General features: G+C 37.6%; 2 long non-coding RNA genes across 2 annotated transcripts in view; one reads left to right on the forward strand and one right to left on the reverse strand.

The window, feature by feature from the left end:
* Positions 1–16,745, reverse strand: part of LOC105378761 (uncharacterized) — a 94,372-nt gene that overhangs the window by 76,191 nt on the left and 1,436 nt on the right. The window lies entirely within an intron of this gene.
* Positions 168–11,308, forward strand: LOC107984962 (uncharacterized). Its single transcript, XR_001738091.2, has 3 exons — positions 168–1,113; positions 7,666–7,882; positions 9,390–11,308. It is a non-coding gene; the product is annotated as an uncharacterized LOC107984962 (long non-coding RNA).

Here is a 16,745-nt window from a genome sequence, read left to right on the forward strand (position 1 = left end):
TCTTCCCACTTCAACCTCCCCCGTAGCTGGGACTACAGGCATGTGCCACCACACCTGGCTAATTTTTGTATTTTTAGTAGAGACAGGGTCTCACTTTGCTCCCCAGGCTGTTCTCAAACTCCTGAGCTCAAGAGATCCCCCGACCTCGGCCTCCCAAAATGCTGGGATTACAGCTGTGAGTCACCACGCCTGGCCCCAACCAGTAATTCTTAGGTAAGAGAGAGAGGTGCACCAGGGATGCTGGTAGGAAAAGGAATTCAAGTCCTACTAATAATACAATATTAATGCTCTCACAGATCTAAGAGAGCTCCTAATCAACATTTTATTTTCATTTTGGGGGTATTTGAGGCCCTAAAAGGGAAAATGAAGAGCTATTTGAAGTCTTGGCCAATAACTTCAATGATCCATTCTCTTCAATCAGAACCAGTGCTTGGCCACTAGAGAAAAAGTACATACAGTTACAAATTGATGGTCAAGTTGCCAACTGCCATTTATTGGGAAGTATCAATATGGTACTTCTGTCTCTGAGCTCACCATACTGGCTACTGGCACCATTGAGCTCATGAGTCAAGTTATGGTTCTACCTGACTAGTTATTTCACTGTTTTCTGAACATTTTCCTCATCCTTCGCTCTCTCACGGAATAATTTTCCTTGCTTCCAGTCTAAAATGAAGCAAAAATTAAGCCTCAAAGAAACTGTTTACCTCTGTGAGACAGTGTAGTGAATTCTTATAATTTTAAGTTGCCTCAGCATCCATTTTGAATACAAGTTTAAGTTTCTCATACCAAGAGCAGCAATCAATTGCCCTTGACACAGTTTCAAGTTCCACATGACACACAAATGGCTCAAGCTAGTGGCCAGAGATAAAACTTAGAGGCATCCCTCCTTCCTAGCAGGCTAGACCCCTCGCTTTCTGCACCTCCTGTAAATAGACTTTTAGGCATTTGCCTGCATACTTAAAGTGACCCACACCCTATTTCCTTATATATACTGCTAGTTGTCATGTGTTGTCTCTTTCTCTTCCTGAATTTTCATTTCTACCTCCCATGACCCATGACCTGGGGCCAGAAGACTGCCCTGCGAACTCATTGAGCACTCCCTGCCCAGAATCTGTAAGTAAAAATCTTTGAGGTTGTTTCCTATTGGTGGTGGTGGTACATTGAATTTGTGTCTTCCACCTGAAGAACTAGGAATTGTCCTAGGCTAGATTTTCCCCAAGATATTGGGGAGAACACAAGATCAGGCCCCCAGCACCACAGCGATGCTTAGGCAGGCATAAACTGGCCACAGGTCAGACAAGAGCACAAGGGCATCTGCCAACATAAACAAGTTTCCTGCATGAGAGACCCCTGGATCACAGGTTGGACAACTAGGTATTAGGCCACCCACCAGGCAAAGGAAGTATCCTGTGAAAGGAATGCTGTGAATACCCATGTGCAGCCACCCTTTATTTCCCATTAAGGTAGGGTTGCTAGCCGCTCTGGTACTAAAACCTCAGTTTAGTTGGGGCCTCTCAAAACAGAGAGGAAGATTCTAAAATTCTCAGATGCATACTTGTCACAATATAATCTCAGAGTCCTTGAGATTAGATAATTCTGAGATTGGGGGAAGGAAAAAGAGAAGATGGAAAAGTGATTTTGATAAGAGAAGGTAGGAGGGACTGGATAGGATTCCTTTAACTGGGAAGCAGAAAAAGCAACTTTCATCAGGGGCCAGGGAGCAAATGGTAGAAACACAGAACAAGCTACAACACAGAACAAACACAGAACAACCTTGAGTGTGGACACCACATCAGATGAATAACCTGCCCATTGACATTACTAGGCATGGTTAGCACCAGTCAACATGAATTGATGGGACAGAGACAGGGATGTTTGTCACCTTGATGGAGAAAGTGTCATGATGGAAAAACCTGGCAATGTGGGAGCAAACAACTGATTGCAATTCCCCTGAGAGTGGTGCGGGAATGACATACCAACACCATCCCATGTAATACGGGCTGCTTTCTTTTTCTCCTTCTTTTCTATTGTGAATGGGAGAGCAGTGTCATCCCCTGTGTATCTCCAGCCATCCATTAGAGCTTCTCATGTATAGCAGGCACTTGAAATAATTTGTTCAATGACAAAGCCAATATATGAAGTAATTTGTCCAAATTAACACAGTGAGTTTAATAATCTGACTAGGACCAAAAGCCAGGGCCTCAATTGAAGTCCAGTAGTTCTTCCAAATGTTTTCTGTCTTAACATACGCACAGAAGGATGGATGAATAAAACAGATAAAGGACAGAACTCTGATGGGAGGAGGGGTTACACAGAGCACAGTTTTAAATGCACGTTTTTATTCTGAGTTCTGATTCTGCCCAAGTAACAATGCCGTTCCTCTCAGTCAGTAACTGTGGCTTCCAGGAAGTATAACTGCTTGAGCACAGGACATTATTATTCAATTTACATCGACCAAGCAGAGACTGCCTGATGACATTGTAGATAGACGGTATTTGTGGCTTTGAGACTAATGATTTGAGTTTTTCTCCTAGTTTAGGTTTGTGTCCTTACGAGCATGTCAGAGCTGTGGTCAAATCTAAGTAGCTCCAATATCAGAGAGTAGAAGTAAGTTTTCCTTGAGTATTACAACAATGCCAGCCGGCCGCTGTGTTCAATTCCCAAAAATGAAAGAAATATTGGAGACCATCTAGTCTAGTGGTTTTCAGCTGAAGGTGATTGTTCTCTTCCAGAAGCCACTTGGCAATCTCTGGCGACATTTTTGATTGATAATTAGCTTGTCTTAGTGTGGACTGGTACAACAAATTACCATAGACTGGATGGTTTAAACAATAAAAATGTATTTCTCATAGTTCTGGAGGCTGGAAAATCCAAGATCAGGCTTCCAGCATTGTTGGGTTCTCGGGAGGCCTTCTTCCTGGTTTGCCGATTGCCATCTTCTTGCTGTGTCTTCACAAGGCAGAGAGCAGAGAGAGAGGAAGCAAGGCACTAATCTCATTATGAGAGTTCCACCCTCATGACCTAATCATCTCCCAAAAGCCTCATCTCCAAACACCATCACATTAGGGATTAGGGTTCAACATATGAATTTAGGGGGAACACAGGCTTTCAGTCTATAGCGCAGAGGATGCTCCTGGCATGTAGTGAGTAGTGGCCAGGGCTGCTGCTAAGTATCCCCCCATACACAGAACATCCTCCTGCTATAAAGAATTATCTGTCCCAAAATGTCAACAGTATTGCAGTCAAAAAGAACTTCTAATTCAGTTCATATTTTTCCCAAAGTAGAATTCGTCTACAGTGACCTTGATATGGAATTTTCCAGCTTCTGGTTGAATATGTCCAGAGATTTAGTACTAGCTCACTCTTTCACTACTGAATGCTAGCTTAGTTGCTTGTTTTTGGTGCCCCAGAATGCTGAATGCATATTATCACATTGTTTCATAATTACATGATTTTTGTGTCTCATCTATTACAGGATGAGCTCCTTGAAAAGCTAATCATATTTCATACTCATCTTTGCATTATCGGCTTCTGCATAATGCTTGGTACTGAAAATATCACTTAATAACTATTCGGTGAATAAACAAATGAAAGATGAGAAGTCTTTCATTTTAAGTTACATCCTATCTTTAGACTGGAAATCTCATGCTTATGTTCTACCCATTGAAAGTTTTCTCTTGGACTGGAGATGGAAGAGACAGACCACTTGTTGCACCACTCTATCTTGCCCTTTGCCTCAAGGCTGTCCTTGTGAGTTTGGGAACTATACATATTCTTAGTTTGAACTTTTCTCTCATTGGAAGTAAAACTTTCCATAAAAGTGCCAAAACTGGGGGCAAATGGAAAGCATTTTATCATCAACAAGTTTAATTTGCTGAGTGCTTTGCATTAAAATCACTGAAGTGAGTTGGGCTGGCCAATTCCCAAACTCTATTGCCAAACCGAGAGGCACTTTCTCATCCTTCCTTTAAATGGCAATGAGCCATTGGATCGCTGAACTTGGACCTATATTGGAAGGAAGAATAGAGTATGAAAACCAATTTTCCCATGGGGTTGAAAAGGCCAGAGTGACTTACCATACTTTTCCAACTCTAGTTTAAAGTCTGTAAATAATAATGTAACTCACATTTGTAAAGAGCTTATATAAGCCTTAGACATCTGTCCTATCTTTTTTAAAGAAAATATGGGAGCAAACAATTTCTTCTATTAAAACACTAATATATTGTGGCACAGAATGCAACACTGGCGTGATATTTTAAGATAGAATTATCTTCAAAGAAACTCTGCATTCGTGACGGAGTGCTTAGAGCTATATTTCCGGACCATTCTCTCACTTATGTTTGTAAGTGAAGTTAATGGAAAATTTGACATGATCTAGCACACATTTTCTCTTTTAATTTCACAGTTCATCTTTTTCCTCTTTCTGGAATTTTCTTTTACCCTCTCTCATTCATTCTTCAAACACACTCTTATTCTCTAAAGCTCAACTCAAATATCACTTTCTCTTTGAAGATTTGTTTGATTCCCCAAGCACTGGCTCCCTTTTCCAGGTTTCACCTGCTTATATTCAACCACTTCTCAAACTATGTTGTAATAGGCTGCTTAAATATCCTTCTTTCCTGATAGACAGGGATCTCCTAAAGGAAGGGGATCATATTTTATCTTCTACTTCTTTTATGGCATCCTTTCTATAGAAACAACCTGCAAGAACTTAACCTTATAATTTGGCCATAGTGAGAAACTTCTTTCTCAATATTCCCAAGACACTCTGATCATATTTATTTCTGATTTGTTTCTTTCGATTAATTAATTTTTACTTGATCAATATACATTTACTGAGGTTCTAGTGTTAATTAGGCCCTGTGGATGGTTATACAAATAATAAAGGACTGAAATATATGAAGCACCTCCCCTGTGCCAAACACCATGCTAGCATTTAATAAATATCTTCTTATTTAATTCCTACCACACCATGAGAGGTACTATTGTTACTAGTTTGCAGATAAGGAAACTAATGTCTATGTATTTAAGTCACTTGTTCAGGGTCACACAGATGATATTTATATTTTATGGAAGTTTTAATTTAACTGAGACAATATAACATGCACACACATGACACACAAACACAAGTACTTTTTTGGGAAAGAGTTATTTTTTATGTGCCGAAGCTGAAGCGTAGTAAAATGAACAGAAGTTTTGGGTTGTGTATCATGGTCTGTAACCCAATAGCGCATGACTAAATACCGGATACAATATGGTTTTCTTTCTACATCCATTCTCCATCAGAATACTCCCATCCCTGTGCCTCCTCATGGGTTCTGTGAGGCTGATCTCCAAGTACTGCATCTCTCAGGCTGTCCTGCTATCTGTTTTCTGTTGGGTTTGGGGAATAGGAAGCATCAGAGAAAGGTAAAGAATTCAAGGTATTCCTTCACCTTCCCCTAACTTCTTACAAACTACTGGGCCAGGCCTTAAAGAGCTCTCTTCTCTTGGGAGCTGGGTGGGAGAGTGTGGCTCTCTTATAAGCATAACTTTTACCAAGTTCTTATAATAGCTTCCTCCCCTTGTCCTTTCAGGCATGAGGGTGTTAATACTTCTTAGATAGAAACTTTCAGGAGCAGAGTACCTTCATTCAACTGTCTTCACATAGCCCACTGAGTGTGCCATCTACGTTGAGACAGAGACTGACACACCTTTGTCTGAGCCTCAATAGTCCCATCTGTTAAATGGGTATAGTAACATGTAATTCAGAGAAATTTTGCGAAGATAAATAATATATGTTAAAAGTACTTCGAAAACTTAAAAGTACCAACATTTGTAATCATAAACTTATTTTTCAGTTCTATAGAATTCATACTTTCATTTATCAAATATCTACTGAGGACCAATTATGAGTAAGACCCTATGCTAAATGCTGAGGAACTCTGTTGAGCAGAGATTTAATTAGAGGGGAAGAGACTCCTTTAGGGTAAGTGAGGGAGGAGAGAACTCAATAAAAATAAAGAGATGACCAGGTCCTTAAAGAATAGTATATTTTATAGGTGAAGTTGGGGAAGGGGGGATAAGGCATACTAGGGGAAGGGAAATGTGTGTGGGAATGTTTAGAGGTAGGGGAGAGAAAGGCATATTTGTCATGAGTGAGTAAACCATTTTCATGGGGGATAAGGCTGGGAATGCAGTGATTTTCAAGGTCTTTGTAAAGAGTAATTGCATCCTCTAGGATGAATAAGAGGAAAATGAATTCCAATATATCTTAATATCTTTTTCCTACTGTGGGATTTGCCCTGTGAAAAGCTCTGCATTGAAAAATAAGTGATCCAGTGGGATTTGGATGTCTTTACAGCATGATTCGATTGATTGTACTAATGGATTTTGCAGCAGATTGGATATTAAAATGGTCAAGAAAGGATTTGATTGAAAATCACTAATTTCGACCAACTGATACCTTTGTCAACAAACATTCATTGAACTTCTACTATGTAATATGCTCTTGGGCCCCAAGGAGGTTAAAAAGCAAACAAACAAATAAACAAAACCCAAAACTAAAGAAAAAACCAACCATTCATCGAAGTTCATCGACATGGGATCCTCCACATGCCCTTGCTTCTGCCATTCCCTGACATGTGCTTTTAGAATCAAGCACAGGGCATGAAACATATTTGGTAGATACACAATAGAAGTATATGTACACAATAGAAATGTATTTGGTTTATACACAATAGAAGTACATAATTTTTCCCTTTTAATCTAATACATAAATGAATGCCTCACTTAAGATATAATCTAGAGCAGAGCTACCCGATAGAACTTCTCTGTGATAAAAAAAAAAAATGTTCCACTTTGGTGCTGTCCAACAAGGGAGTAACTGGCTACACAGGGCTATTGAGAACTTGAAACAATGCAATTGAGGACTGAATTTTAAATTCTACTGAATATTTAATACAAATTTAAATTTAAACAGCCGCATTTTATTAGTGGCTGCTGTACTGAACAGTACAAGTCTAGAGAGAAGTGTTTTATAAATAGCAAATAAAACTCTTTCTCCCTGTCTTCATAACACTCCACAGTTGCTGAAGCTCTTTTCCAACCAGTCTAATTGCTATGTTTGAGCTATAATGTGGACTGAGGTTCTAGGAAATCTCCAATCACTCCTATCCTGTTGTTCCACGTTTAAAGTTCTGTTTAATCCATCTTTACTTATCTCTGTCCTGAAATGGTGAAATGGGGGTAGCAGAAGATGATTTCCCAATTGTAATCATTGTGATTTCTTGCATGTATTTACACCTGCTGCTATTAAAATACCACTGCCTTATTTAGTAGCCCCTGTAGTCATTCTAACTAATCACAAAAAGGCTTGGTTAGCCTTTAAGTATGCTCAGACATAGTTGCTGGGTGACTAGGCAAATGAACAAAAAGTTCAGAAGTTCAAAACAAAAAGTTCAAAGCCTTTTCAAAGTAAGCATCATAACATTATGCAACCTCAAACTGCCCACCATTGACACATCTCAGGGTCAGAACCTATATTGCACTGAAGCAAGCCTCAAAAAATCTAAGGAAAAGATATTATGTATCTAGTTTTTCTAGTCTTATTAAACTATTTTGTGGTTCTCTGCATATTCCACATTTTTCCATGTGACTACTTCTGTGCAAATTCTGTTTCTCTAGGCAGGGATACCCCTCATCTCCTTGGTTGACTGACAGACTTCAGTTCGGGTTGTGCTTCAAGAACCAGCACAAATGGCACCTCCTTTATTCAGTTATTTACCTGAACTCCCACAATAGAGTGAAATTTGCACATACCTTAATCAGAACAAATGGATTTCTGTAGATATTCCTTGGATTTGTTATGGATTTATGCTTGTGCATCATGAGCCTATTGAAGGTAGGGGCTGTGTTCTGTTAATCTTTTTTTTCCCAATACTTATCAAAGAGCTAAATAATGATTCATTCAAAGTTCATGGACAGAATAGATTGCAAGTTAGTTGTTGTTTCTATGTATTTATACAGTAATGAGTGATTGAAGTAATCCAGAAGAGATAGTCCCCAAATGTTTGGGTCATACACTAGAATATATTATATGATTTAAAAAATTTTGCCTTTTAAAATGTATTTTGTTGGGGATAATATTAAAATTTCTTCATTGGTAAGTAATAATACCTCGAGTCTCAAAGCTTTGAGCTCCAACTAATTTGATTAACCAGAAATACAGCTTTATTACTTACCCTTCTACAACTACCTGCCGTAGATTCTTACATTCAATTATTCTGGCTGAGTATTGCAGAGGAGACACGATTTTCTTATTTATTTATTTATTTATTTATTTATTTATTTATTTATTTTATTATTATTATACTTTAAGTTTTAGGGTACATGTGCACAATGTGCAGGTTAGTTACATATGTATACATGTGACATGCTGGTGTGCTGCACCCATTAACTCGTCATTTAGAATTAGGTATATCTCCTAAAGCTATCCCTCCCCGCTCCTCCCACCCCACAACAGTCCCCAGAGTGTGATGTTCTCCTTCCTGTGTCCATGTGTTCTCATTGTTCAATTCCCACCTATGAGTGAGAACATTCAGTGTTTGGTTTTTTGTTCTTGTGATAGTTTACTGAGAATGATGATTTCCAGTTTCATCCATGTCCCTACAAAGGACATGAACTCATCATTTTTTATGGCTGCATAGTATTCCAGGGTGTATATGTGCCACATTTTCTTAATCCAGTCTATCATTGTTGGACATTTGGGTTGGTTCCAAGTCTTTGCTATTGTGAATAGTGCTGCAATAAACATACGTGTGCATGTGTCTTTATAGCAGCATGATTTATAGTCCTTTGGGTATATACCCAGTAATGGGATGGCTGGGTCAAATGGTATTTCTAGTTCTAGATCCCTGAGGAATTGCCACACTGACTTCCACAAGGGTTGAACTAGTTTACAGTCCCACCAACAGTGTAAAAGTGTTCCTATTTCTCCACATCCTCTCCAGCATCTGTTGTTTCCTGACTTTTTAATGATTGCCATTCTAACTGGTGTGAGATGATATTTCATTGTGGTTTTGATTTGCATTTCTCTGATGGCCAGTGATGGTGAGCATTTTTTCATGTGTTTTTTGGCTGCATAAATGTCTTCTTTTGAGAAGTGTCTGTTCATGTCCTTCGCCCACTTTCCCACAATTGTCCATATAAAAAATCTACTACTAAAATGTAAATTCCATAAGAACAGATATTCTCTTTTTTGAGTTTTGATTGCTGACAAAAATCCATGATCTAGAACAGTACTTTGTACCTTTTAATCACTCAATACATAGCTTGTATTAAAATTAATTAATAAATATAACCAAAGTTTTCTGTATCTTTACAACTTTTCATTCCACCATCCTCTACAGTCACCATACCCTTTTTGGAATGGAGAGCCAACTCTTCCATTATCATGCTGCCACTCACAAATTGCTGCCTATGTCTTGGCCTGGGCCCTTCCTGACCTCCTCTAGACAACGGCACCCCATCTCTCTCAGGCAAGTGTTCATCCTCTTCTTACTTCTCCCCTGCATCTACCTCTGGGATTCCTTCACCGGGTCAACTCTTTCCATTTGACAAGGCCAGTTCTTCCAGTGGGGGCTTCTAAAATAGAGCTGATGTGCCCTAGTGACACTGTTTTCCTCTTCAAATGAGTCTTCTTCCCAGAATACACAGGTGACTCAAGTTAATGCTGGTAAGGGATGCTCTAGATGTGAGCATGCTCGAACAGAATCTGCTAGTGTAAGTGAAACCACAGCTGTCTCCAACAGTCAGTTTCCTTCTGCCAGGCTACTTCTCTTAGTGTGATTTTTCTCTCAGGAAACTTAATTTATTCTCCATCAGTTCAGCTGTCTTCACAAAGCTCCAGTTTAGTGTACAGCTATGGGTCTGGATTTAAGCTGTCTTTCATGAGGCTCCAGGGCCACATGCAAATCAAAACATGTGTTCGGATATCTGTTTGTGTTCTTTCCAAGTTTGGCCTTCTCAAAGAATTCAGGTTATCCCAAGTGTGGCTCATGGAGTAAAAGCATGCAGGGAGGTGAAATTGAAAGCCTTTGTAGGTGCTTAGTAAGAAAACCCATTATGTGGGCTGAGTTCAGAATTGGAGCGGCATGGGACCCATTACATTCCCCATTATAGTTTGTCATGAACCAAAGTCCAGAAATTAGAAGACAAGTTTACTGGATAGAAGCTTTCTACAATAGTGCCCAGAAATTTGCTGGGCTATTAGAGTCACTTAGGAGTCTTCAAAATACAAGCACATTTCTGGGACATACCAGGATCTCTTCATAGTTATGGAGCTTTATAGGTATCTCCCCATCCCCTGTGCTTTGGGAGCCTGGTCACAGAATGCCTCTAGGGTGGTGCCTCTTAACTCATACATATGGAACACATAGAAATTAATAATGCTTAATGTTTACATAGCACACTGGAATGAAGGAACACAGTAGGCTGCCCTGAAGCAACCACCCAAGGGGCCTTCAGCCACTCCAGAATCAATATGGCTTCCCAGCTTGCTGAGAGGATTACTCATAAATGACACTGCATAGGCCCACTAGGGAAACTTTGGTTTAAGGAAAGTGTGACCTAACTGAACCCCCCAGCTACTAAATATCAGATCTGAATAAAGCCACATTAGCTTCTTAGATCTGTATTCCCTGAATATTTCCTTAAAGAGAATGGAAGACAGTTGGAAAATAGTGGATGGAAGGTCACTCCAAAGTAAAGTGTTTTCCATGGATACATCCGCAAAAAGATAATTTGCATGAAGATAAATATATAATTGGAACTTATATGATAATACCTTATTTTAATAAGTGTTGCTCAAAAACTTCAAGTTCGAACTCCTTACCTTGGTATTCAAAGTTCTCCATGTTGGTGACTATTTTTCTAAATGTATCTCTTTCTTTTCCTTTTTAAATACCCTAAATTCCAGCTAAAAGAGCTTTCATGTATTTACCAATGGAATTTTGGTAGTTTTCAACAAATGTTTTGTTTTATGCTCAAACTTATTTCACTCCTACATTGCTCATCCTTCAAATTTCATTGTTCTCATTGAGAATTTTCTGATTTCTCCAGCCAGAAATCATCTTTCTGTCTTTTGAACTATTACAATCTCTTTTCTGGGCCTCTATTCTACTTCGCACATACTATGTTGTATTATAGCTATTTGCACATGATCTGGTCAGTCAGAATCAAACAGGCTTAGGTTTAAATTTAGTATTTTCCACTTTTTAGATGGATGACCTTGTAAATTTCCTGAGCTGTAATTTCTTACGCCTACATATGTTAAGTATAAAAATATCTACCCTGCTGTAAACCATTGGCAAAAAGGCCTCAATTTTCAAACCTGTATCTTTGCTCTTTGCACTGTGACTTTGTAGCTCATTCATCAATAGGCAGAGTCTGTTTCCCTACTCCCTGAGTTTAAACTGTTCTTGAGATTTGCTTTAGCCAACAGAATATGACAGATGTGAAAGGTTCCAGTTCTGAACATAGGCCCCTAGAGTCAAGAGACCTTGTGGACTCCCATTTGCTCTCCTAGAATCATGTTCAACTGTCATGTGAACAAGCCAAGGCTACCTTCCTAAAGCATGAGAGACCACATGGAGCAGAGATGAGCTGTCTCAATTGAGAATATTGTAGATCAGCCAGATCCCAGCTAATTCACCAGCAGATGTATGAGGGAACATAGCTGAAATGAGAAGAATCATCCACTATATATATGTATGTATGAATATACATATATATGTATGTATGATATACATATATATGTATGTATGAATATACATATATATGTATGTATGATATACATATATATGTATGTATGAATATACATATGTATGTATGATATACATATATATGTATGTATGAATATACATATGTATGTATGATATACATATATATGTATGTATGATATACATATATATGTATGTATGAATATACATATATATGTATGTATGAATATACGTGTATGTATGAATATACGTGTATGTATGAATATACGTGTATGTATGAATATACATGTATGTATGTATGAATATACATGTATGTATGTATGAATATACATATATATGTATGTATATTCTTATGCAAGCTAAAGTTTGGGAACCACCAACTAAAACAACCATATGCATGTATGTATGTATGTATGTATGTATGTATATACATATACCTACATGCATGCATACAAAGTCCAATATATATATTGGACTTACGAAGTATGCAAACTTGCATGCATACTACAAAGTCCAATATATATATTGGACTTTCAGTCCTCTGTGTGTATACACACACACGTGCGCGCGCGCGCATGCGCACGCACGCGTCTGTAAACACATACATACATATGGCTTTTTTAAGTTGGTGGTTTCCAAACTTTAGCTTGCATCAGAATCACTTCGGGTGTTTGTTACAATAGACCAATGAGCTCCCAGAGTTTCTGATTTAAAGGTCTCGCATGGAAGTTCCTAAATTTGCGCTTCCAGTAAATTCCCACGTGATGCTGATGCAGGTGGTCCGGGTACCACATTTTGAGAATGACTGTTTTAAGCTGCTAGATTTTGAAGTAGTTTGTTAATATAGCAAAAGATACCGATAAATAGGGATATCGTGAAGTTTAGTAATTACAAATTTAAATTTGTAATTTAGTAGACACTCAATAAATCTTATTATTGTTATCTGTTTTATCTCCTCAAGTAGCCTATAAGTTCCTCATGGAAAGGACTATTACACAGCTGAGTGCATCCTACTCTTATTATCAATTTGCCGTACCTTGCGTGTTGCAAACATATCTTTCAGTCCATTATATTCCATAAATAGCAAGCAGGTGTCATATGCAATCGCTGTGCTCTTTATCACTATTATGTCCTCACTCATAATTTGGAGACATTTCCTAAAGATAATTTAACACTATTTGATCAATTGTAAAATTCGTTCTTGCATCTATGTGTTTATGAACTTCTTTTAAAAAGAAGTCACAGAGGGTTAACGTTTTATAAAGTGGTGGCTGAAGATGTGTAGTGCTACAGTAGCTTAAGGAGTTGAGGATTCTGGCAAGGAAGTAGCCAAATAATCACCCAGGAAAAGAAAGAGAACTAAGGGGAGAATTAATAGACTGGAAAGAAATGGAAAGATTAATAAATTGGCGTTCTCTATAAGGTCTAAAGACAACTGTAGTGTTTATAAAGTGTAAGAAAAGATAAAAGGAGTGAGGTATTGTCAAAATGTAAACTGAGAATTTAAGACTTTGAGGGTGAACTTATTGAATGATGCCTGGGAATATGTGTTTTTAAAAGATCAAATGATTCTGCTATGCAACAAGTTTGGTAATGAATATTCTACAATATTATGCTCTTTACTGTCATCAAAATTCATGAAGACAAAGCAGATGATATCTACTTCTGCAAGGGCTGAAGAACTGATGCCGAGAACTTTACCCGTTACATCATTCAACGTTTCTTACAAAATCTCATGTAAAAAGCTTCTTTCCAATGTAGTGACAGAAAAAAAAGACACATTGGTCTTTCCTGAAGGATTGCTATATTTTTTTCTTTATGATGTTGAAGTTTATAAAATTCACCATTGTTACCTCTTCCTCCTGGCTGCCAAGAAGCCAAGAACTAAGCCCGAAGCTTAGCCATTTCTAGATTGTGTTAAGTACTCTTAAAGCCCCTTGTGAATACCTCTATATGACCATTTACACATTATATTTAAGTTATTCATTTAATATATTTTTCGTCATTTTACTGTAAGCTCCTAAAAGCAGAAACTGTATCTTTTACGTCAGTTCATCTATAGTAACTAGCCTGGTGCCTTGTATGCTGTAGGTTTTAGGAAAATTTTTGCTAAATTATAAACCAAATGGTGGTAATTATAAAGCTAATGGTCACTAGTTTTTCTGTTCCCTTCTTTCATGTGTTTTAATTTTATATTTTCACTTATTGATCTTATTGTACATGATTCACTGTTACGTATTAGGAGAAAATTCTTTTCTCTCCATTCCTTCTATTTTCTTTCAGGTGGAGATAGCCCTGTTAGTCTTATACTTCTGGCTTCTTTCTGTCAGTTTACTCAATATATCCTAAGGGAGGGTGAGCGACTTATTTGATTGGTAAATCTGGGGAGAATAAACCAGACATGCTCAGCCCAAATCCTCCATTTTTCTATTTTCACCTTTTAGGTCAGTTAGCTCTGGGTTTCTTTGATGAATTCCTTTTTATTCATCTATTCACACAGATCTAGTTTGGCCTCAGAAACCTCAACTCCCTTTGTAAATACATGTCTCACTTTTTCATTTCCCAGTATTTTAGTTTATCCACTGTTATTTCCAGAACAAGAAGATGTTTGCTGAATCCCCCATTTTCTCTTCACCTACAAAATGTCCTTCAATTACCTAATCTGCTGCTATAGCTCTTGCACTGTTTTTGAGCCAGACTATTTCCCAATAATAAAACATCACAAATATGCTTCTTCTATGAATTTTTTGTTTTGGATTTGTGGTAATTTTTCCTGCTTTCTCCATACAAGCAGAACTTGCATCTCTAAATTGATAGTAGCCTACATTCCTTCTAAATTGCTCATTAATTTATCGTTGGAATAAATAAAATATATTTTATTTCAAAGGATGAAGCCACACTGGATCTCCAATATTCATAAGCATAATTGGCAGTTGTTACAATGTAGAGCCTCAAAGATAATGTAAAATTAGACAAGACATGCAACTCTAGACTAGCCTTGGCTTGGTTCCAAGTGAGGGTCAATATTTATTATCTGAAGGCCTAAAATATCTCAGAATGGTATACAAACCTAGTTTACAAGCATGTTACATGGTATGAAACTAATCATTCTTCCAATGTTTGAATGTAGTGTGCAAAAGACCTATTAAATAAAAGGCAGCATGAAAAATAAATGAAAATAGTCCGAATCAAAGATTTCATGATCCCAGACTCAACACAATGGTCTTTTGGGAGTCGTTTAAACAGTATTTTCCTTTATATTAATAGCTCAACTTCTTAAACAATTAGTCAGCAGATAGGGGCCAAAACATATTGCCTCCCTTCTTTACTTTGATAAGACTAAGTTAGAGAATGTAGTTTATACATGGGAAGTAAACCTCCAATATTGATCCAGATTACATAGATTAACCCAGCTAGTTACAGTCATAGCCAAAAGTCTACAAGTCTTCTCTAATGGGACTGTCTCTCATTAAAATATGGCATATCAGAGCAGGGGAGAATGTATGCCTTCTGGAAGTTATGTGCCCCACGAAGAAAAATGGAGGAGCTGCACTGAGCATGACTAGTTCATGCTTCCAAATTTACCTATTATAAATGCATATGTGTCATTCTATTTTCTCTGCACTGGAGTTTGTAGAGAGAGAGAGTTCAAAAGCATTAGAGGAACTGAGTCCACGTTACTGAGGTCAGTCAATAAGCTTCATACAATAAATTTGAATGAATAAAAGGAAGAACAAGATAATTGAGAAGATCTCACTGGAAAAATGTATATTCAGATAGAAAAATCGTTGTAGAATTGCTAGGTATCACCCTTAAAATAGTGTTTTAAGCACCAAAATTTTTAAAAAGTATTATCTTTAGGGGTTGTGGCTAAATTTACTTTTCAACACCTCTACTAAGCTCTAGGCCTGCCTGAGAGTAGCTGAACAGTAGCAGTATGGTCAATATGCACCCACACCAAGCAGTGCTCACATGATTATAAATTTAGAATTGTGCAATGAAGTACCACGGTATTACAAGAATAATGACAATAGGGGCTCACATTTAAGAGCCCCCTTCCTGTGTGCCACAAATGTGCTAACTGATTACATATTACCATGTTTGATCTTCAAAATAATTCTATGAGTTAGATATCAATATTCCTATCTATAATCAGGGAAAACAACGCTAAGCAACATACCACAGCTCATAAAGCTGAAAGCAGCAAAGTCAGTATTTGACCCCAGATTGACTGACTATGAACCCTGTGTTCTTTTGCATATGCCAAAGTAAACACATCTGTAAATATTATGGGACTGGATTACGAGAACTCTAGGACCTTCTGACTTTCTATGTTTCTGTGGCCCGACAGTGTGAAAAGCTCCTGCTAGTTAAACGCTACCCCAGATCATCGTTTTTCTTCTTTCCTCTTTTCATTCTTTTCTGTTTCTCTTCTGTTTGAGAGTTCCAGTGGGCTAATTGGAAAGATCTTGCATAAATACAGTAAAAGTCATTATGAGGTTATCCAAAGGACAAAATGGGGAGGGAAGGTATGGTACAAGTGGAAAATTGTTGTAAGTTTGAATTACAACGTGGTTGGATCTGCTCAGGGCTTAGCAGAGGAAGACATTATATTGCTAGGACATTGCTAGGTTTTACTTTAAGTTTACTTTAAATTCTAAGATACAAAGAAGGCTTTAACTTAAAAATGGAAGATAAATATTTCACAAATATGTTCTTATATCTCATAATTTGAAAGATTAATCTCTGAAGAAACTATGGAGAATACTGATCATCATCATCGTAAGAAATATTCCTGGCAATTCTTAAAACACAGTTGTATTCCCCCAGTTTAAGTAGTATTATGCTGGAAAGAGGAGCTGGACTTTCAACGTAAATATTTGTATTTTACTGTGTAAAATAGGATATATTGGTTGGTCTCTCTGAGCATCAACTTCTTCATCTATTCAAAAGTCCAAAATCAAATCCATTTTACAAATATTGTGA

This window comes from Homo sapiens, chromosome 1 (assembly GCF_000001405.40).
Source record: "Homo sapiens chromosome 1, GRCh38.p14 Primary Assembly".
Classification (NCBI taxonomy): Eukaryota; Metazoa; Chordata; class Mammalia; order Primates; family Hominidae; genus Homo; species Homo sapiens.